Consider the following 21,413-nt stretch of genomic DNA (forward strand, 5'->3'; position numbering starts at 1 on the left):
CTGAATTTAGAAAGAGCACACTCTTAAAATTATCCATAATGTATTTGTATTTTCTTTTTTTTTTTTTTTGATGGAGTCTCGCTCTGTCACTCAGCTTGAAGTTCAGTGGCATGATCTTGGCTCACTGCAACCTCTGCCTCCCAGGTTCAAGCTACTCTCCTGCCTCAGCCTCCCGAGTAGCTGGGATTACAGGTGCCCACAGAGACGGCGTTTTACTATGTTGGCCAGGCTGGTCGCAAACTCCTGACCTCAAGTGATCTGCTCACCCCGGCCTCCCAAAGTGCTGGGATTACAGATGTGAGCCACCACACCTGGTCCATAATGTATTTTCTATTTAATTTAATCCTAAGGCTCTAAAAATATATGAAGAATCCTAAGTGTTGATATGATGTTATATACTGTAAAATTTTCTTAAGATATTAACTATAAGACAGTTTTTGAAATCCATATTTGTAGATCTAAATATCTAATTTAACTTTTTTTCCAGAAAATAAAACGTAGATTCAAACAGAACAATTAAGCCGAAAACAAAACTTTTCTAACATAATTGATCTAGTTGCGTTTATTAATTATCTAATACAGGATAGTTTGGAAAACATAAACTTTGAAATGTTGTCTAAGATGAAGAGGGCTCGGGGAACTCCTTAGCTATCCTCTAGTTCCCAGCCAGCTGGGTACTATCATATCCTTTTGACAGAGATAGATGTATATTCACCAGAATATGGAAGAATACTAATACAGAACTCTGCTTTCTGTTTCATTATTCTGAAGACCAGAAAGTACTGTCTACTCATCACATGTGTGTCATGGAGCAAAAACACATCTTATGGTGGAACATGTGAAAGAAATGGGAGATTTTCAGCAAATAATGCTCTATAATGACAAAAAGAAATTCACAGGATGAGTTAGTTAGTAGCAAATGTTAAAGCATAGTCAACTTGGTTTTTCAGCTGACTAAGTTAATTTAGATGTGGAAATAGTACTTTGCTATGGCACTAATTCTGATTCTAGCCCTACAGAATTTAAAATATAAGGCTGTACTTAAAAGTTGTTTTACATTAAAAAAATCAATATAACAGGTTTTTATTTTATACATATAAGAAAATCATATTTATTTAAAAATGTACAAATAAACTAATTTTAATTCATCTTTCTTCAGTAATTATCTATTTCCTATAGTTAGAATAAAAGCAAGATAAATACAATAGTTAAAGCCTTAAAGAAGTCTGGCAGTCTTTTAAAAACATTTCCTGAGTACGGGTTACCATTTCATTAACTAGAAAAGTATCCTTTCTTTGAAATCCTCCAAGTAGAAATTATACAACACCCAATCGCAGTTCCAGTAATATTTCAGAAACTATGCTGATATTTTAGAAATCAATTTTGGAGCACATAAATATGTGAAGATTTTAAAAGGTAGTATGGAAGGCAAAAATAAACAGCTGGCTTACTTTTACATTTCTGTCGCATTAGTTTACACACAAAGCTAGACAATTACGTATAATGTAGAAGGTACCTGAATGAAAGTGGCCAGTAAAACACAGCTCATCTCTTGCTCCAGAATGATCTTGTTCTGATGGTTGTTGTAACAAGCAGCGATAAGTGAAGGGAACAGTACTTTGATCAGCCGTGGGTCACTGAAATACTGGAAGGGCAACTGGCAGAGCTTCTGCAGCACTGTGGGGTGGCGGCCGGACTGCACGATCACCTGAAATGGAAGAGCAGCCCAGGTCAGCTGCCGAAACGCCCCAGCCTGTCCCTCACCCACCTGCACAGTGTCGGCTAGTACCATGGAAAACATGCTGAAGGAGTGTAAAGAAAAAGACTCCTGACTCCGTACCAGAGCTTAATTTAAGTGATACTTGAAAAGAGCAGAAAAAAAAAATCTCATTTCCCAACTTAAGGAAAAGATCCTGAAAGTTTTGCACTCATTTAAAAGTTATTATAATCCACGATTAAAGGTGTAGCTGCCACGGAGTAAGGACGCCTATGAAATGGATTCAGAATGCACATTGCTTTAACAAAGTGCTCCCCACACCCCCTTAAAGCAGAGTAGTCATATTCCTTAAAACCTGCAAAGAGTTCACTCACAAGAAAGTAAGGCCCTGCCCACTGCAGTCTTCCCTTAGCTTAGCTCACTGAATACACTCAATGCAGACAGATCTATTCTGTATGCAGGCAGGTCCAAGAAAGAAAAGGTAATTCTAAGGAAAATGGGAACAGTTTCAAAAAAAGTTATAGGCTCCAAAAGACCTTTCCTCCAATCTATACTTCTTATCTTTGTTTCCATCAGTGCCACTGAGTCTAAAAGGAGAACTGTTTAGATAAATGAGACTGTTGTCTTGAAGCAGTCTTAAGTTTACAACTGTGTACATTTAAAGAAATAGGGCAATGCAACGAATGGGCTTGCAGGGAAGCCCTCTTAATTTACTCCCTAGGCCTCCATGATAAACTAAGAAATGTCAAAATTAGATCTGTTTCAAGTAACCTTGATTAGACAGTTCTAATATGAAAGAGCTGGGTGACCCAAAGCCCACTTCGTGGTATAGGAGGAAGCTCCTAGATGGTTGGGAACACTGTAAACCTAAGGTCAGAACTGTAAATTGTACTTGGAAAAACACAATTTTACAGGTACACACCCAGACAGGACTACATTCAAATTAAAACCAGAAGGAAAGAATGAAACAGCAGAGGCAGGAGTAACATAAATTACAGGGATTTACAAGTTTTCAAAGTACTTTTAACAATACTTTAAGAACACACTCTCAGATGATAATGCAGTTTAGTTTAAGAACAAAATCAACAAAGTAATAGTTCACATATTTTCGTTCAATAGCTAAAATGACATCAAAAGCCTTTAGAGACTGTTGATAGGGACTTGTTAATACCTTCAAATCCAGAAGGAATTTTAAAGACTTGCACTGTGTGACAATTCAGCACATGGCTATGTGCTGCCATTTCTGACTCTGGCTGAGAAGAATATGCCCTATCATTTACTTTATTGATAAAGGCATTTACTTAAATCTTTATTTTAACTATTAGCTGCAAATTTTGTAACACAGCCAAATGTTCCCCACATTAGAATTTATGATGATATGATTATTAGAAGTCTTCTTTTTTTTTTTCCCCTCCTTGGACAAAAATTAAGAACAAGTTTTTTCTTTAGATCTTCATTGTTAAAACGCTATTATTGGAAGATTTGCTAATTGAAAAATATTACACTGGCCAGCCTGGCTGGTGCAGGTACAATGTTAAAGACAACTCCTGGTGCCTGGCATATCAGCACAGAACATGAAGAGCTTAACTGGAACTTACTCCATTTGGGCTCCTGAACCTCACTGGAGTGAGGCAGAGCCCCTTAGGGACCTGTTGGTTCCCTCAAGGAACAGAGCTAGTTATCAGCTGCCGTTTACAGAGCGAGTTTACAGAGATGACCAGCAGTGTAGTGAGATGACTTGCCAGAAGCCATTACTTTTAAATCCCTGGATTGCAGAAGATGCAAATGGATGTAGGCAGTTTGGTTACCATTGGAGTTCTAAGGAGCTTTACCCATTGGACCACGTATGACAGGACTTAACCAGGCTACAGGTAAGGAGTCTACTACGACTGATGAGAACCCCCAACCCTACCACCCCATGGCTTGGTTATGAGCCAGAATGGGACATCTAGTCTATGCTGTCTTTCCAACCACATTTTAGACATTGTGGAGACAGGATCAGGAGGTTCAGGAAGGGGCCAGCCCACAGCACTAACACTCAGTGGGCTAATTCAGGTGGGCTTGTGGCATAGAGGGTGGCAGTCTGATGTCATGAGCACAGATGAACCGTCAGCTGAATTGGACTAAGCACTACCCTTTGGGGCAGGGGGCAGGGCTGGAAATGCAAACAGCCTGACCTTAATGATCAGGGTTTTGAGTAGGGTTGTCTTGAGAGGGTTGTCTGAGGGGCTTTTTGAAAGATGTGGAGATGAGAGTAGGGCTCAGTTTTATTTCATCCCACCATTCACTCTTAGGCCTTAGGTGGTAAAATGTCACTTGGACTGCTTGAGCTTTCCAAAGTCAGTGGAGTCATCATGGAATATGAGAGTCTTGCTCAATGAACAAAATACGCATAATTAAGAGACATCTCAGATTTACACTATGGTGTTCTCTCCATTTGCCTTACTGATGGAGCTCTTACTAAGTCAATAACTGTTGGTCTGTCACCTTTGTCCAGACAAAGGGCTGCCCATAAGTCCTAAGGCAGGCACCACTGTGAGCCTGGCCAGCCACCTGCCTCATCTTTCAGAGTGCACAAGGCCAACACAAACATAAAGGGGCTTCCCACAGAGCTTCCTTCCAGAGCACTGCACCAACGGCAGGGAATGGACTACCTGTAGATTTCTTTGGTGGCCACACTCATCAGCCAGAGAGAGCAAGTAGGGAGCATGCATGGCCTCAATAGTAATCAGAAGCAGTCTTTCAAATATGATGCCCACCTTCAGACGCAGAGTAGGGCTCTGAGGAAATCAACGGAATTTCCAACAACATTCAGATCAAAAGACATTGAAATGGAACCTTGTTCCTGGATGTGATTCTTAAATAGGTGCTAACTAAAGAGCTAGGAGATCTGGGTTCTTGTATTTATTTACCAACTGGCTTTGTGACCCTAGGCAAATTGCTCCATTGCTCTGGGTTTTAAGGTGGTGAATTTAAAAAGAAGTAACCTTTTTATTGACATCACACACACACACACACACACACACACACACACACACACCCCTATGGCCACTCACCTACCTCGCTTAGGTGAATAAGCTGAATTTTCACAAAGTGTATACACCGGTGTCACCAAGTACCCAATTAAGAATGAGAAGATGACCCAAAATGCTGGATCTTTAAATATATTCTTTTTGACATACAAATGGCCAACAAGCATATGAAAAAATGCTCAACATCACTAATCATCAGATGAATGCAAATTAAAACCACAATGAGATACCATCTTACACCAATCAGAATGGCTATTATTAAAAAGTCAAAGAATAACAGATGTTGGCGAGGATACAGAGAAAAGAGAACGCTTATACGCTGTTGGTGGGAATGTAAATTAGTACAACTTCTATGGAAAACAGTATGGAGGTTTCTCAACCGAAAATAGAACTACCAACTGGGTATCTACCCAAAGGAAAATAAATCACCATATAAAAAGGATACTCACACGTGTATGTTTATGACAGCACTATTCACAATAGCAAAGAGATGGACTAACCTAAATGTCCATCAACAGATGACTGCATAAAGAAAGTGAGGTATGTATGGGCATATATAAATACACCATAAAATACTACTCAGCCATAAAAAAAATGAAATCATGTCTTTTGCAGCAACATGGATGGATCTGGAGGCCATTATCTTAAGTGAAATATTCAGAAAGTCAAATACCACATGTTTTTGCCTATAAGTGGGAGCTAAATACTGTGTACACATGAACATAGAGAGTGAAAGAACAGAAATGGGAGGGAAAGGTGGGAAAGTGGGAGAGGAGTGAGGAATGAGAAATTACCTGATGGGTACAACGTATACTATTCAGGTGACTGTTACACTAAAAGCCCAGACTTCATCACTATTCAATATGTCCATGTAACAGAAATACACTTGTACCCCCTAGTTTATTTTTAAAAAAGATGGGAGACACACATAAAAATAAATCAGTAAATAAATATAATCTTTCTCACTGAAAATTACATTCCTACATTTTGAATTTGGGACAAATCAGATGGAAACTCTTTGACTAAACAGAACACAAGAGAGAGTACTTCAAGGCTTCCTTGGAGCTATTCCTGATCATTCTCTGGAGACAAGACCGTAGGTGCATAGCTCCCCTTTTGGTCTTCAAAGCAGAGGCTAGTGGACACCTGGAAACCGTAGGTGAATTTTCAGTGGAGGGAAGAAGTTTATAGATTCAATACAAAACTATCTTAGTTGGCTTGGGCTGCCATAACAATATACCATAGACTGGGCCACTTAAACAACAGAAACTTATTTTCCACAGTTCTGGAGGCTGCAAGTCTGGTATCAGGGAACCAGCATGGTGGGGCTGGTGAGGGCCTTCCTTGTTGGCAGACAGCTGCCTTCTTGCTATGTGCTCACATGGTCTCTCCTTGGTGAGGGCATTTAGAGAGCGAGATCTCTCCTTTCCTTTTATAAGGCCATCAGTCCTACTGGATTAGGGCACTGCCCTTACAACCTCATTTAATTACCTCCTAAAAGCCCTGTCTCGAAATACAACTACATTGCAGGTTAGGGCTTTAACATATGAATTCTGGGAAAAGAGTTCAGTCCATAGCACAATCCTCATCATTTCTCATCAACCTCAGCCGGAATTATGTTCCATTAGAAAGGCTACCATCTCTAACCAGGTGCACTTCAGAGTCAGTTGAGTGGCTTTCCCTGGGCCAACTGTCTGTCAGTGGCCATAAACCATGAAGCTACAGCTCAAGAGTGCTGGTGTTAGGCAGCCCTGGGCTCTAGGTCTGGCTCTGCCCCCTGATCTGCTATAGTCACTTAACTAATTTGAGCCTTAGAGTCTTTATAAAATGAGGGTAGATGGTAGCCTTCAGGATTTAGATGAGGATCCAATGAGATAGTGTCTGTGACCATAAAGTACAGAACAATGTTAGTTATGAGTGTTTGGTTAGCTGACCAGTTCTGCTGCTCTGAGTCTTCTCCCGCTAGACCTGAAGCCCCCTCCCAGTGTGAGGCTTCCTAAATGCTTTCCATCATCTTGCCCCCCTCCCCATCACCCCAGCCCCATCTCTCCATAAGGACTACTCTTCAGAGCACAGGGTCTGGCAGAGGCAGGCCCCACTGTCTTGCTGGGACTCATCAGCAAGTTTCGTGCCACGTAGGAAGCCATTGCTGAGGTCTCTCCCTGGCCCTGCCTGCACGAGAGAGCTGTGCAAACAGTGATGGGGCTGCCAGCCAGGATCTTGCAGTGGCAGAGTAGGAAATGTATTCTGACAGCTCTGAAAAGAAAATCCAGGAAAAGCATGATCCAAGAAATACAGGTAAGTGGTACAAAGAAACAGTGGCTTAACTTACTGTGCATGTGTGTGTTTTGAAGCTATTGTGTTAGGCTTGTCAACCTGAAAACAGAGCAGGAAGAGCAAAAGCTAATAGGCTGGTGTTGTGGGCTCCTGATTGAGAGCAAGGATGAGCTTCCCTTGAAGCACTTAAGGAAATCCTTAAGCCCAGGAAGTCTTCCCAGGCAGAACAGCCAAAGGCAGCCTTTCTTGTTCAACCCAAAGACATGGCAGCAACTATCACATAACTAAGTATATGTAGCTGAATCCCAAGTTACAGAAGGGCAGGAACTATGTTTTTGGTATTGAATCCTCCATTGCTCTGCTGGGGGCTAGGCACTGAAGGAGGGCCTCAAAGTTACTGGAATGAATGAAATAAAGTGACAGGGGGCCCCTAGTTAACAAACTAATTGGTGCCTTGACTTGGGGTAGAATCATACCACATCTTGTCTCATGAAATACAGATGGCAGATTTTGGATTGAAGGCTTCAATGGTGTCTACATCACCTTAGGTCTGCACATTAAGTCCTTGAAGAATAGATTTTGTGATAAGCTGTCTCTTACCCTAGAAGGAAATTAGGATTACAATCCTCAGGATCCTGGGCACCAACTCAGGGATCCCTGGTCTGGTTATAAGAGTTCTGGAAAAGCCTCCTCCTTTTGCAGGTATGGGCAAAACTGGTGTTTCACTTGGTATGAAGGAATTCAAGGCCTTCTAGGACAATGCTTTGCCAAAACCTCAGTTAACACAGCAGAAAACCTGTTACTGGCAGAGATGGTACTCAGTAGGCTATAAAGCCCCTCTACCTACATTATCCAAGTCTCTAAACTCTGAAATGGGCAGACAGGGATGACTATACTCTTACAATGGGGAAACTAATGCTCAGAAAGTTCAAGAGAGCTTGTCCTGGGTCCTCCAGCTCGTCATTGGTAGAGCTGGGCTTAGCAATCTCTTATTATTCCAAATGCTAGATTCTTCCTCACCTCAAAGGCCCATCTACGGTCACTGGACTCATGAGCCCATTCCTTCCTGGGCAGAAGGGCTGTCTGTCACTAGGCCTGAACTCACTTCCATGACTGGCTGCCAGCCAGCTTCTTGCATGGCTCTGCCAGCCCGGATGAAGATGAGGATGACATACTGCCATTCAAATAAACAAACCAACTGACATAGATTAAACTAACACAAAAGACTTTTTTTCAAAAACCTATACTCTTCTTGGCTTGGTATCAAATAACCAGTTCTTGGTTATGTGCTGGCTGTGCCAAGGGTTTGTCTCAAATTATCAGATGTAAGAACTTGAAAGAGAGGAAGGGTTGGTGATGGGACTAGATTCTCAGGAGTGAACTGTTGGAACACATGACTCTAAATTAGTACTGTCTTAGGATGGCCATTTATTTGGATGCCTTCTGGAGCAGCCTTGACAGGTTTTGAGTGCCTTGCAAAACTGGTCTTATATTTTTGAAAGAAATGCTATTATGTCAAATATATTTGTAATATTAATACTTGGTGTTACCCAAAATTTAAATTAAAAAAAAAAAAAAAGGAAAGTGGAGGTGGGATAGTGAGTGATCACGAATCTGGATTAAAAATGCAAATTCTCCTGGAGAGAGTTTGCAGATTTCACATTTGTAAAATGACAACTGTCAAATTCACTCCATAAAATTCCAAGGAGTGGCTAGGAGGGCCCATGGAGAGTCTATCACGTTGTATAAATGTAAAACAGCCTGATTCCCTCACCCAGAGGGACCTTTCCTCCAACTGTGACCACATGGAATTCAGTCAAGAACGTGAAAAGAAGCAAGCGGGCCTTTCAGCAGAGAGATGAGTCCATTCATCAAATATTTGCTGAGCATCTACTCTAGCCAAGCATGGTGTTAGGCACTGGGAATGGAATACTGAACAAATCAGAGACATTCTTGCCTTCACCGAGTGCCCAGTTTTTCCACAAAATCCACACCAGTTACTTACAAGAAAGTCTTCCAAGCTCCAACTCAATCTACCAAGTCACATTTCAGAAGCAAGTCTAATAAAAGTGGGCTTTCTGGCCTAGAGTAGACTGAAATCAGCAATTAGAAAAGACACTGCTGGTTTAAATAAATTGACAAGAGGAAGAAGCACCAGCTGACATTAGTAAGTGAAGGCGTGAGAATTAAAATTATTTTAAGCAGACATGAGAATTCAAAAAGTTGCCTAGAATCATTTGGTGTAAAAGTATCTCAACCCTTTTCAGTTGGTCTTGAGAGAGCATTACTGTATTGTAGTAAAATATCTTATTAATTATAACCAATTATCCTTACTTAGTATGCTACACTTTAAAAATCTGCTTCCACATACCTAATAATAGTAATGTGCCTTAACATCGTAGTAGGAACTCATTTCTGAAGGCATCAAAAAATACATAATACATTCAGCATAACTGGTTTAAGATGGAAGGAGACATCATAATATTGTAAAAGGGACTGGAAAGTTAATGTTAAACACATTTTTTTTTTTTTTAGAGGGAGTTTCACTGTTTTTGCCCAGGCTGGAGTGCAATGTGCAATCTCTGCTCACTGCAACATCCACCTCCCGGGTTCAAGCGATTCTCCTGCTTCAGCCTCTCGAGTAGCTGGGATTACAGGCACCCACCACCATACCCAGCTAATTTTTGTATTTTTAGTAGAGACGGGGTTTCACCATGTTGGCCAGGCTGGTCTCGAACTCCTGATCTCAGGTGATCCACCCGCCTCGGCCTCCCAAAGTGCTGAGATTACAAGCATGGGCCACCGCGCTCAGCCCACATATTGTTTTTTAAAGGTAAATTTGGTCATCTGAAAAATTCACTTATATGGGAATAGTTTATTCCCTGACCATACCAAACCATGACACTAAATAATAAAAATAAAGTAGAAAAAGGTCTGTAGTAGTTTCTTGCTCCCTCTTTTTTTTTTTTTTCAAGATGGAGTCTTGCTCTGTCGCCCAGGCTGGAGTGCAGTGGTGCCATCTTGGCTCACTGCAACCTCTGCCTGCTGGGTTCAAGCAATTCTCCTGCCTCAGCCTCCCGAGCAGCTGGGATTACAGGCAGGTGCCACCATGCCCGGCTAATTTTTTTATCCTTAGTAGAGATGGGGTTTCACCATGTTGGCCAGGCTGGTCTTGAACTCTTGACCTTGTGATCTACTCACCTCGGCCTCCCAAAGTGCTGGGATTACAGGTGTAAGCCACTGCGCTCAGCCCTTGCTCTCTCTCTTTCTCTCTCTTATATAATCTACATACATAATAGATAAACCCAGGATGTCCTATAGTAAAATTCCCAGCTCTTTAGAACTCACTTATATTCAAGGAAACAGAACAGAAAATGGTCAAGTTCTCTTTTACCTACTTACACTCTGCCTCTTCTGATTTTGCTAAGACCTAAGAGTGATCCTGCATTTTCTCCTTATTTAGGAGAACTCCATCAGTGGTTTTAGAAAGCTCTCCATATTGTGTTATTTTTATTAGTTGTTTTTTACCCCAGAAGGCCGTCTGGCAAGTTTCTAAACACTTATGTCACTGGGACCCCAGCACTGTGCCTGCCACAGACCAGAAGACAGAACCACATACGGCCCTGCTCCAGATACCAGAGCAGTTGTTTAGGCAAAGACAGACTGCTATGAATCCCCAGTTTCAACAGTCTCAAGGCTGTCTGCTCTGTAAGGATAATGGTTAAGCCCCCTATATTCACTGCTGTATTCCTAGTATTTGGCATAGTGTCTAACACAGTGCCTGGAAAACAACAGGTGTTCATTAACTATCTGGGGAATGAATGACTGAGGACCAAATCCTTACTCCAGGGAGCCTGTACCTACCACACCAGAGCTCTGGGCCTACCCATCCCGGGCCTTCAAGGACTCAGATAACACCATCTTTCTATGTGTGAGAACAGTTAGCTGAGTATTTTGGCCAGCACCCTAACTGGTCCAACAGCCTCTTGGCACAGTGCCACAGAGAGGAGGGGTAGGGTAGGGCAGAAGCAGCTTCTTTCTGCTGGCTTTGTAAGCACCTGTCAAAACCTAAGGCCAAATCGGTTCCATTGGTTGGTGTGGTAGGGTGAGTGGTACATGGAGTCAGAAATGTAAATAGTTAAATTTCACCAGGGCAAATTCTTTATGCCTAAGAATTCTTGTTTTACTTTTTCCCTTGTCAGAGACAAGGTGTCCTTAACAGGGGCAAAAATAGGTGTCTAGACATCTAAATTCATTAAAAAAGACAGCAGAGAGAGTTTGTAAATCATTGGAACAAAGAATATTTTTCTAGCAGAGCAGAAATAAAGTAGTTCCTGCATTCCTCTCCACAAAACTGGTCCTGCTACAATGCTATAGTAAAAAGGCAGCAGCTGCGGTGGCCAGGCGAGGCCAGTGCAAGAGCCAAGCATCTCTGTCCACATTGCTCTTACCAAGTTTGTCACACCTGAAGACCAGGCCTAGGAGCAATATGACAAGAGGGTCCTTGAGGCCAATGACCTCTATGTGTCATAAAGAATATGGCATGCCCCAAACACACACACCTTGCTTAATCTGATACCTTGGGGTTAGGGTAGGGAGGGTACAGAAGTGGCTTTATTTTAATATCACAGGAGAAAAGTTTAAAGAGTCTATGCATATACATGATCAAGTCAAAATCAGTGCAGAGAAACACAAAGAGTCCTTTGGCTAGCACCGCAAACAAATTCCTGTCCTCCCAGATCTGCTTCTTCCATTAGATGATTTCCAAACTGAGATTAAGTACAGCAGCCTTGGCAGACCATGTGGGAAGTAGGCCCTTTAAGCACTAGCCTTCTTCCCGGTGGTCCCAGGGATCCACTGCTCTCTAGCACCAGCAAAGTGTCAAGGACGAGGAGGGATGAGAGAGAAGGAAGAAGGGAAAGAGGAAAGAAAGTAGCCAGGATCACCAGAAGAAGCTAAAAAGCCAGTAGTTGGGGGCTTGCCTTTTATAGGCTTTGGAAATAAGGTGATGCTAAAGAAACAAGGGCTTTTCTCATGTAGTGAGGGGTGAATGGCTGTTTTGCTGTGTCCCTCCAGGGAAACTGAGTGAGATGGCCCCTGACCAGCTGCTGTCTGCTTCCTATGGGAAAAGGCTGTGTGCTTGGTACCAGTAGCAGAGGAATGCAAAAAAGGCTTTTCCCCTCCTCAAACATCATTCTATTCCTGCAGGGGAGAATAATGCTTCAGAACCAGGGATGCTTGTTTACAGCCCTGGGGCTTCAGTGTGGAAGTCTGATGCTCACCTACCATTCTCCATATCCGGGACTTTGGAACATAGTCTGAGCGTGTCATTCTCCTGCTTGTAACACTTAGGGGCTCCTCATCTCTGAGGGGATCAATCCTCAAGTTCTTGGGTCCCTCCTGACCTGGACCCTGCCTGCCTCTTTAGTCTTAGCTCTTGTTTCTCCTACATCCTGAGCTCCAGTTAGAATAAACAGCTTGCAGTCCCCTGAACCTGCCAGGCCATTTTACATCTCAAACCTCTGGCATAGATCCAGGTTTGTTAATTATTTCCCCCAGCCCCGAGAATGTCAGCAACTTGAGGGCAGGGACTTTGTCTGTTTTGCTTCCCACTGTATCCTGGATGTCTGGAACAGTGCCTGGCACACTGCAGGCACTCAATAAATGTCTGCTGAAGGAAGGAATGAGTCTCAGCACTGAAGGCACTGCCCCTGGCTGTGGATGTCACAAGGACAAGGATTGGGTTGTGTTCATTTCTGCATCTCCTAGCACATGGTTTGACACAGTGTGGGCATTTTGTAAAAGCTGATAAATGAGAGAAGGAATGAGTGATGAATGTTCATAGGGATGAAAAGCTAACAATACTGGCATTTCTCCAAGAATGAGTTACCTTCCAGTCTTCTGTGTTAGGGCCTCTTTTTCCTTCTTTCATGTTGTCTATTCTGTGAGAAGAGTTACTTTTTAAATGAAGCATATTTTAAATTCTGTTCAAACACAGCACAAGAAAATTGGGCTAGATTTTCTCAAAGACTTGGCTAAGCTAAAAGTCATGGGCTCTACAGCTAATCAGGGACAATGGCAGCAAGTGCTGCTTCCATTTTAATTTACATTTGAGAAAGAACCCTATCTATAGAACACTGACCTTGTAAATTATACAGACTCACCATATCATCGTAAATTTGAGAAACTACTTTATTTTGGATTTTTTTTGAATATTTGCATTATCTGTGTCTCTTTTACCATTGGGGCTGGGGATGGGAGGAAGGCTGGTCACAGAAAGCCCTGGATAATATATCAGGAGGCCTGGTTCCAGTGACGTGGAGTAAGTCCTTCTCCTCTCTGGAAATGAGGGGAGTTTGAATAGATGATCTCTGAAGGCCTGTGAACCTGCAGACATAATATAATCCTGTGCTATGGCAATCGTGCACTTATGCATCCTATGCTGCCCATACCTGCATAGGTACGACATTTAAACATGGTAAAAAGAGAAGGCGCTTATAATATTTTTTTCTTACAAAGGAAAAAAGTCATCACATAAAATATGCCACCCCCAAATTCTCAATGAGTACCTATCCTGATTTTCTAATCTAGCTTATTTAAGAAAAGAGAACTGATTACTTACACACTTACACACACACACACACACACACACACACACACACACTACTGGAAAGATTATGTCCATTATAGACTAACGGGATATGTGCATGGAGGCACAGGGAGGTGGGCAGATGAATGGACAGCATTTAATAATGCCTTAAAATTCAAAGGTTCTAAGTAGGGTCTGGAACTTTCCTGTGAGAACTGAGGACAAACTTTCCTTACTATGGAGCTTTTGGGTGTTATGAGAACAGGAGGGTTAATAAATGCAGTGCATGGGCTGATAGGTTTTCTGGTCATAACCTAATAGCTGCCAGACAGCATGGATACATTCCACGGAACATTTATGGGCTCTCCAGCACTAGTCTATGACAATTTTATTTAATCATAAAAATATAATAGTCATCAAATCTTTTTGGAGTTTCCAGTTTACTGCTTTCTCAAGTGAAATAAATGGTCTCTCGGATTTCTTCTGCTTTCATCTCTCTGCTCTAAGTATAGTAGGATAAGGTTCCAATTAAGGCCCATTAAATGTTCACATTGATTCATTGAGCCATTCTCCAGTTTCTTTTCCTAACACAATCTCAATGCACCTCTGAGTTGTCTCTGTGGTGTGTTTTGTTTAGCAGTTGCCCATACATAAAATAATTATTTGGGTGTGAGTTCTCCTTCCCTCCCACTTCTATAGCCCAAGGTGGTGAGTGGAGATTCTCCTTCACTGCCTTCCAGACAAGAATAGGTTTATCACCTGTCAGGTGTGTCCAGGTGAACCAGGCATGCCCCTTTGGGAAGGGAAGCTGGCAGCTGACCAGAACCAGACTGATACTCCAAAGTCCCCTTGGCAGCTGTGTCAAAACAGTGTTTTGAGTGGCAGCCCTGAGACTCTGAGGTGGGAGGATCCTCTGTACTTCTACATGTTTTGGTCCACAGAGGAACCCTGTAGGCAGACGCTTCTCACAGGTTCTCCACAGATGGGGAACCATGTTCTGACAGCTGGTCTGGCCATGACTTCCCAATTCATCTTATAATTATCTATTCTTCCTCTATCAGAGCTGAAAGGCTTCTTCAGAGCACCCAGGCTAACTCTTTATACAGACAGGAAACTAAAGCTCAGAGAAGGGCAGTGACTTACCCAGTGTCAAACAGCTGTAAAGCTGTAAAAGGATCCAGCAGTCCTGACTGCTGTACCAATATTTGTTCCATTGTGATGGGCTTTCTGTAACTGATGAGGGTCTTATATAAAATCTCCTATCTCAGGAGAGGTGTTCCCTGTGATTACAGCCTAAGCCTTTATACAGTCTTATCTCAGAGTGATTTTTATTACAAACACCCCCTCCATGGCTGAAGACCAAGGCAAGTCCAGAAAAACTGGTCATGAATTAAACTTTGATAAAAGATTCCTTCTGGCCTCATTTTCTTGTGTTGATTTGATACCCCAATAGAAGATTTTCAAGTGAGCAAAGGATAACTGAGGTTCGTGCACACTCCTGACCTGGCAGCAGCCCCTCAGGCTGGCTGCTGCCTACCTCAGTTGACGTCCTGGCAACACAGCCACTCAGGCAAGCCAGGAGTTCCTTCTGACCTCTCAGAGGTTTGTGGAGTAAAAAATGTATCTAGTGTGAGCATGCGGCACTTTGAACTACCCTTGTGTGGAAAAATTCACTAAAACAATGAAGAAAATAAAAGGTATCTTTTATTTGGATTCTGTGAAGTTGGTAACTTTTAATGCAATTGGCCAAAATTGCTAACTGGCAAATTTCTCCGTTCTTATGTCAGCCAGTTCACTCATCAGAAGTCTCAAAATAAATATTTAGGTATAAATCATTTTTAATTAAGAATTTTTGCTCTACTTTTGGAAAAAAAAACCCACATTTTTTTCTTTGGTGCTATAATATTGAGAGTAACTTGGTTCCAAAATGGTTGCACTGCTGAAACTCAGGCTCTTCCTTAGACATGATGTATTTCTATTTTATGAAAGGAACGTATCTGTCACACAAAGAAAGGAAATACAGAAAGCTGAATGCTTGTGTGACAGCTAAAGAATAAGCTGCCAACTCTGGGAGAACAGAAAGTCCTTGAGTGCTGGAGTTTCCACTCTGAGCCCACCACCGCAGCCTCCATTCACGAACTGGGATGGGGCTAAGGGAGTTTACCAAGTGGGTGTGACCTAGGACTGACCATCTGCCTTTGAGGCAAAGAGTGAAGTAAAAATGTTTGAGCAGGAATTAAGCCAACTCTAAAAGTTCTAAATGCTGGAATGGGATTCTGGAAAACTGCCACTCTTAACACACAATGACTCTAGGAAACCACTCCTTATTTCTGTGCGTGGGGAAACACCCGAGGTGAGTACAACAGATTCATTTTCGGAATTTGTAGTCAAATTAACGTTTGGCGTTTCTCACTAAGTCACTGAGTTACAAGAGAGCTGGAAAATGCATGGCATGCAGCTCAGGCAGAACCAAGTTTCACGAGCTTCGCTGTCCAACTTACTTGCCTGTTCTGATCCGCCCAGAAGCTTTCAGGAGCCTTTGACAGGGCGTGGTGCAGAGCAGACAGTTACATGATCAGCATGGACTTCACTAGAGAGAGCTCAATGGGGGCAAAGGGGTTAAGGGGATCCTTCCTTTCAGGGATCACAAGAAACTCCAACTCTGATAGCTGCAATCTATGGGGCCTTTCCAAATGAAAAAGCCAGTTGCTAAACAAAATGAGTACGCAAAGGTGCATATTCCCAATATAGTAATATGCAGGCAGTCAAATCATCAGTCATTTGAGTTAATTTAATTATCAGACCACATTTAATTATCTAATACAAAATGTAAATAAAGTGAGGGGTTGACAGCACATACTAATTATGTTCATTATAATAATTAAATGGGAAGGAATTTAGAAAGAGTCAAGAAAATGCCATAAAATACAGGGAATCTTTTGATTAAAACAACATTTTAATTAGAAACTGCAACCCTATAGGAAACAGAAGATTCATTCCATCAAGGATGGGACGTCACTTTTATTATCCAGGTTTCTCTTCTCAAGTCATCCTTGGTATCAAGGGGCTCAGTCTTTCCAGTTAATAGACTAAATGGTGGCAAATAAAAAGTGCCAATCCTTTATGCAAAGCAGTTACCTAATCAAACAGTAGGCTGCAGCAGGCTTTCAGGATGCCCTGTCTTATAAAGACACAAGCTGCTTTCCCAGTAGGAAATCTATGATGCCCTGTGGACAAATTGGTTCTGTAAATTAACATGACTTCTGACTAATGATAAGGAAATATTAAATGAATTGAGCATCTAATTTCTCCTGTGAATTTCCTCTGATTTACAGAAAGTGGCAACAGGCGAAACAGATTCACTTCTTAAGTATAGAAGTGAGGTGGAAACTCACTGAACTGCCAGTGGTGAGGCTGGGCTCTGCCAATTCTCGCTTGACAATTCCTTTTCCTTCTCTGAGCCTCAGTTCCTCCACCTACAATATGAGGGAGATGGACTAGATATCTCCCAGAGCCCTTCTAGGATGAAGGTGCCATGAATCTATGACTGAAGAAGCTAAGGCCAGTGCTGAAAACTAAACTTACCACACCCTCTTAGCAAATGCTCGCTTAGCAAATTACTGGATTTCGTGGGGGCAGTAGAAAGGGAATTTAATAGAACTAGTTTTAAAAGTGAAATCAAACTAACAATTAACTTTTCAGTTATAGAAAACTTCCCAACTCTATTGGGATATGAGCAGTTATCACCTCAGCAAGCTGTGGCTATTCCTATACCCTGCCCTTGCCCCGCAGCCTGACTGGCATGGAGTACAGCCATGAGCTGGGGAGCACAGCCTTTAGTGCATGTAAATCAACTGTGGCTGAAGATGGCATCACAGAGCAAGGTACATGACATCTCACCTGTAAGAAGTCTGCTTATAAGTGTCCGTCATTGGGCTCCCTCTACTAATAGTGAGGAGCCAAAGTATACTGAGTTTTTAATGATAAGTTGCCACACAGTAGGCAGGCAGCTCATTAAGCTGTCTGCTGCAGGTGGAATCTGGAGTAGGGTAAGGAAGGTATGGAAAACCACAAAATAGCTTGGAGTCCCCATGAGATCAAAATGCTGCTCTGTGGTTCTAGTTTCAGCCTTTAAAATGTCACAGACTCATGGAACTCACAGGGGAGGTCATCTAGTATAATCCACTTCTTTTTTGTTTACTTCATTGTGTAAAATATGTATAACATATAATTTACCATTTCAATTTTTTTTTTTTTTTTTTTTTTTTTGTTTTAAAGACAGAGTCTTCCTCTGTCGCCCAGGCTGGAGTGCAGTGGCATGATCTCGGCTCACTGCAACCTCTGCCTCCCGGGTTCAAGCGATTCTCCTGCCTCAGCCTCCCAAGTAGCTGGGACTACAGGCATGCACTACAGCACCTGACTGATTTTTGTATTTTTAGTAGAGATGGGGTTTTGCCATGTTGGTCAGGCTGATCTCAAACTCCTGACCTCAAGTGATCTGCCTGCCTCGGCTGCCCAAAGTGCTGGGATTATAGACTTGGGCCACCACGCCTGGCCCCATTTCAACTATTTTTAACTCCACAATTACAATATTGTGCAACTGTCACTGCTATCCACTTCCAGAACCAATTTGCTTCTTTGTAGAGTCAGTGATGTTCAAACCTCAAGAGGGGAAAGAATTTATCTATGATCACACAGCTAATGGCAGAGCTGGGGCTAGAACCCAGGCTTTCTATCTGCTAAATTGTGGACCATTTCTACTCATAAAACATGTTCATTTACACTTTCCAAGATCTTTATGAGTCTCCCTGAATAAGGCACACAGATAGGCCCTAGAAGCTTTCCAGTCAGCATCTAAGGGAAAGAATGGCAGTTTCTGAAATGTACTGTCTTGGTGAACCCGCATCATCTTCTACACCCCCCACCGCTAGCCAAGGTGCACTTCAGTGATCGCTAGCAGATGGTACCTGTTACATGCCTGGCCTTCTTAAGCAACGTAAGATGAAATGAAAAGTACACTGAGTTGGGCTTTGCAAAACCTGGATGCTAGCCCTGATCTTTCATAGAGAAATGATTCTCTGTGTCATTTCAGGGAGCTTACTTTATCTTTTAGAAGCCCAACTGCTCATCTGTCTGTGAGGTAAGAATAATTCCTGTACTTACAGCCTCACTAAAGTGCTACTGAGGTTCAAGAGACAAGAGATGGCAAGAATAGTATAAAGAACTCTACAAATATAAGGTATTTCTACCTTATAATATTTCTCTCTCTCTCTTTTTTTTTTTTTTTGTTGAAACGGAGTCTTGCTCTGTCACCCAGGCTGGAGTGCAGTGGCGTGATCTCGGCTCACCGCAACCTCCGCCTCCCAGGTTCATGCAGTCCTCCTGCCTCAGCCTTCCCAGTTGCTGGGATTATAGGCGTGTGCCACCACGCTCGGCTAATTTTTGTGTTTGTAGTAGAGACGGGGTTTCACCATGTTGGCCAGGCTGGTCTCGAGCTCCTGACCCTGTGATCCGCCCACCCCGGCCTCTCAAAGTGCTGGGATTACAGGCGTGAGCCACCATGCCTGGCTTATAATATTTCTAACATACGGCCGGGTGTGGTGGCTCATTCCTGTAATTCCAGCACTTTGGGAGGCCGAGGTGGGTGGATCACCTGAGGTCAGGAGTTCGAGACCAGCCTGACCAACATGGAGAAACCCCGTGTCTACTAAAAATACAAAATTAGCCGGGCGTGGTGGCGCATGCCTGTGATCCCAGCTACTCAGGAGGCTGAGGCAGGAGAATCGCTTGAACCCAGGAGGCGGAGGTTGTGGTGAGCCAACATGGTGCCACTGCACTCCAGCCTGGGCAACAAGAGCGAAACTCTGTCTCAAAAAAAAAATAAATAAATATTATGCTTAGAAATATCATCTCCATAATGTGCAGTGTCTCAGCTTCTTAGAATTACTATCTTTTCTATCAGCTTCTTACTTCTCTACCTTTTTTTTTTAATCTTGTTCTTTCTTCTCATAGATTGTTGCATTTCAGCAACTGCCCCAGATGTAAACTGACCTCTGTAAACTTCCCTCAAATCAGAAGTGGATGTCCAGTTTAGTATTCCATCCTTCTGGGAGGCAAGGTGTTGAAACACAGGGTCTGGCTTTTTTCACTTTTCTAATTTCTTCCTCAGCATGAGCTTACCTCTCACCAAGGATCTTCAAACCTCACTGTATCCTCTTCTTCTCCAACTGACAAGTGACAGGGTCTCAGTCTGTTCCTCCTCCTTGTGTTGACCAGTGCTCTCTCCACCCATTTCATCTGCTTTTTTTCCCCATCCCAGCATTCCCAGTCATCACTTTCCCACCATGTCCAAGTCAGGTCTTACATGCCATCTCCAAATATGAGTCACCCATCCCTGATGCCCCTTAACTCGGAGCCCAGAGATGCCAAAATTGTGTGTTTTATCTAAAGGAGAGGATTAGTCTGTGATCCAGCATCAGCAGAAAAACCGTCTGAAATCCCATGAAATTCTGAGTTCAGTAAGTTTATCATAACAGAGTTGGTTTAAGCAAAAAGTTTTAAACCATCCTTAATATGAAATGCACCAAAAGCGCTGAACTTTGTCCTGCAGAACTGCACACAGCAAAATATTATCACATATACAAATTACTCACCTCTTTCAAAGGCAGTAGGCAGTGTCAATATATGATAAACAATTTAAGTATAAAACAAGACATTTTTAGGTAAACCATGAATGTCCATACAAGATAAAGCCATACAGCCATTAAAAATACTTAACAAAGATTCTGATATAATGTTAAGTGCATAAAGCAGGACGCAAGCATTTGTACAGCATGACCTCAGCCATGTAAAATTAGTCATAGAAAAGAGGCTGGAGGGGAATCTGCCAAAATGTTAACAGTGGCTATCTCAGATAGTGAGATCAGGAATAAATGTGATTCCATTTTTTTCTTTATACTTGCCCTGTCTTTTTCTTTCTTTCTTTCCTTTTTCTTTCTTTCTTTCTTTTTTTTTTTTTGAGACAGAGTCTCGCTCTGTCTCCCAGGCTGGAGTACAGTGGCACGATCTTGGCTCACTGCAACCTCCGCCTCCCACGTTCAAGCAATTCTCCTGTCTCAGCCTCCTGAGTAGCTGGGATTTCAGGCGCCTGCCATCACGCCCAGCTAATTTCTGTATTTTTAGTAGAGACAGGGTTTCATAATGTTGGCCAGGCTGGTCTCCAACTCCTGACCTCAGGTGATCCACTCGTCTCGGCCTCCCAAAGTGCTGGGATTACAGGCGTGAGCTACTGCGCTGGCTGCCCTTTTTCACAATAACTAAAATCAGAAAATAAAATCAACTTTTAAGAGAAAATAAAAAGCAATTTAATAGGTTGAATGGATGCACATGAAGAAAAAAAAAATCTACACGGATGATTTCCCTCAACTTTCCTTCCCCTGAGCAGTTTGTAAGAGATCTGTGAACCTACTAGGCCTGGTCCACAGAGAGGACAGAGCATCCCCATCAGGGAGTGTTTGAAAGGGAAGGACACTGTCTGTGCTGTAGAGGTAGGAGGGGAGAAAAAGCTGCCATCTACTCCCCTGGCAACAGGGTCTGTAAAAGGGGAACTTTTCTGTGTATAATATTCTGGTAAGGATCCAAACTGTCTATATTTTAGCCATGGGAATCTTTCTAGAACAGACTGCTTATTCCTGCAGTGCGGTTCAGGGAATGCACTGAACATACACTTTGCCTCCATGCTTACTTGAGGTATCAGAGGCATCAACAATCATCTAGGAAATACAGAGCAGGGCTTAGT

At 42.4% G+C, this 21,413-nt stretch overlaps 1 protein-coding gene across 19 annotated transcripts in view, besides 1 other annotated feature; it reads right to left on the reverse strand.

Moving 5' to 3' along the window:
* SCAPER (S-phase cyclin A associated protein in the ER) overlaps positions 1 to 21,413 on the reverse strand; it is a 557,437-nt gene that overhangs the window by 4,529 nt on the left and 531,495 nt on the right. For all 19 annotated transcript variants that reach the window (NR_148227.2, XM_017022273.2, XM_011521653.4 and 16 more), the window contains one exon: positions 1,517 to 1,708. Coding sequence is in view for 18 of the 19 variants with exons in the window: in XM_017022273.2 (XP_016877762.1) it covers positions 1,517 to 1,708 (192 nt within the window). In the remaining variant the exon portion in view is untranslated. The remainder of the gene's footprint in view (positions 1 to 1,516; positions 1,709 to 21,413) is intronic.
* Positions 18,903 to 19,120: a silencer, noted in NCBI's record as "fragment chr15:76663676-76663893 (GRCh37/hg19 assembly coordinates)". NCBI's record gives its function as "represses an EF-1alpha promoter that drives an FKBP-Casp9 reporter gene in an ReSE screen in phorbol 12-myristate 13-acetate-treated (for megakaryocytic differentiation) K562 erythroleukemia cells {active_cell/tissue: K562(+PMA)}" and the evidence as "EXISTENCE:reporter gene assay evidence [ECO:0000049][PMID:32094911]".

Source organism: Homo sapiens, chromosome 15 (genome assembly GCF_000001405.40).
Source record: "Homo sapiens chromosome 15, GRCh38.p14 Primary Assembly".
Classification (NCBI taxonomy): Eukaryota; Metazoa; Chordata; class Mammalia; order Primates; family Hominidae; genus Homo; species Homo sapiens.